The following is a 2203-nucleotide window of genomic DNA, read 5'->3' on the forward strand; positions in this document are numbered from 1 at the left end:
CACCAGTTGGTCCATGGGTGGCCATGGGCAGGCCCAGAAAAGGCACCAGTTTCCCACTCCGGTTGGTGGGACTGGCAGCTCAGCCTCCACCCTTCAGGCCCTCCCTAGGAACCTGCCCCCTTCCACCCAGGAATCTATCTGCCTCTTGCTACCATTCATGGCACCTAGGCTTGGCCCTGACTTTGCTCTAAGATCAGAGCTGGTGCTGGGAGCAGGAAGAGACCAGGCAGTGGGAGCAGGCATTTCTGAGCCTGTGAGGGCAGGGGGGCCTTCCTGGGCCCCCAAGAGTGCAAGAATGCCTGAGTCTGCAGCCAGGGTTTGAGCGGCTACAGCTGCACCCAGGAGAGCAGGCCTCCTGCCTGCTTCCAGACCTGCAAGACCACAGGGAGGCTTGATCAGCAGCCACGACTTGGGCAGCAGCAGCCATGACTTAGACAGCTGAAGCCCCATCTGGGAGGATGGGGCTCCTGCCTGCTCCATGGAGTGGGAGGCCTAGGTCTGCAGTGCGGTTTGGGCTGCTGCACCTGTGCCTGGAAGGGCAGAGCTACTGCCTGCTCCGTGGAGCTGGAAGCCCTGTAGGGGATGGGGGGACAGAGCTCCTGCCTGCTCTGTGGAATTAGAGGCCCGAGCCCACCTCCCTGCTGCAGCCAGTGTCTTGGCAGTAGCCACTCTAGATGGACCACTGCTACCATCTCTACCAAGACAGTAAACATTTACACAATAACAGCTCTACTCCAGCCAAGCACTATAGAAAAAAAGCTGTGGCCCCATCCCTACCCATACCAGCAAAAATTTAATGGGGAACCTAGACTTCCACCTTCACCAAGGTGAAAAAAGGTGCTCTTCCAAAGAGGATGTCACAGAAGGGTGAGTGAAGAACCAGAAATTTTTATCCCTGCCCAGCAGTAACAAGACCTCCCCTCCCATGGTATTACTGGAAACCACATGGGGGTTCTGGATTTTCACCCCTATCTGGTGGTAGTAAGACACCCCTCCTCATCCCTATTGGGGTGGTGTCAGAAGACACCTAACGGAAAGCAGAACTTTGATCACTGCCAAACAGTAACAAACATGTATTCTGCTCCACATTGTCAATGGGGAGCAGTAACAAGTAACTGCACCCCCATCCTGACATGTGTGTGTCATATGAGGTTGAGTGGAGTGTTGGGAAAACTGGATACGTACAGACAGAAGAACAAAATCATACCCTCATCTCATACAATATACAAAAATCAACTCAAAATGGATTAAAGATTTAAATGTAAGATTTAAAACTGTAAAACTATAAGAGAAGAGAATTGGGGGACCCTCCATGACATTGGTCTGGGCAATGATTTTTTTTGACTATGACCCCAAAAGCACAGGCAACGAAGCAAAAATAGACCAATGGGATTGCCTCAAACTAAAAACCTTCTGCAGAGCAAAGAAATCAATCAATAGAGTGAAGAGACAACCTATGGAATAGGAGAAAGTATTTGCAAATGACACATCTAAATGGTTAATATCAAAAATATACAAGGTACTCAAACAACTCACTAGTGAGAAAACAAATAACCTGATTTAAGTATGGGCACAAGACCTGAATAGATATTTTTCCAAAGAAGACATACAAACGGCCATGAGGTATATGGAAAAAATGCTCAACATCAATAACCATCAGGGAAATGCAAATTAAAGCCACAATGAGATTAAATTAAATCCACACCTGTGAGGATGGCTATTTGATTATTAAAAAGACAAAAAATAGAAAGTATTGATGAGGATATGGAGAAAAATGAACCCTTGTACACTGCTGGTGGGAGTGTAAATTGGTACAGCTATTATGGAAAACAGTATAGAAGTTCCTCAATAAATTGAAAACAAGACTACCATAGATGCAGCAGTCTCATTTCTGAGTATATATCCAAAGGAATTGAATTCAATTATGTCCAAGAGATATCTGCACTCCTATATTCACTGCAGCATTATTCACAATAGCCGAGATATGGAAACAACCACAGGGTCCATCAGCAGCTGAATGGATAAGGAAAAGGGAATGCTATTCAGCCTTTAAAAAGAAGGAAATCCTGTCATTTGCAACAATATGGATCCACCTAGAGAACAGTATGTAAAGGAAATAAGCCAGGCACAAAGACAAATACAGCATGATCCTACTTCATATGGAATCTATAAAAGTTGAAAAGCAAAGAGTAGAATGTTGGTT

The 2203-nt window shown here is 45.9% G+C and overlaps 1 annotated feature.

Moving 5' to 3' along the window:
• Positions 381-881: an enhancer, noted in NCBI's record as "H3K4me1 hESC enhancer chr3:48399605-48400105 (GRCh37/hg19 assembly coordinates)". NCBI's record gives its function as "activates a minimal SCP1, AML or CMV promoter by ChIP-STARR-seq in primed H9 embryonic stem cells {active_cell/tissue: H9 hESC(primed)}" and the evidence as "EXISTENCE:reporter gene assay evidence [ECO:0000049][PMID:30033119]".

This window comes from Homo sapiens, chromosome 3 (genome assembly GCF_000001405.40).
Source record: "Homo sapiens chromosome 3, GRCh38.p14 Primary Assembly".
Lineage (NCBI taxonomy): Eukaryota > Metazoa > Chordata > Mammalia > Primates > Hominidae > Homo > Homo sapiens.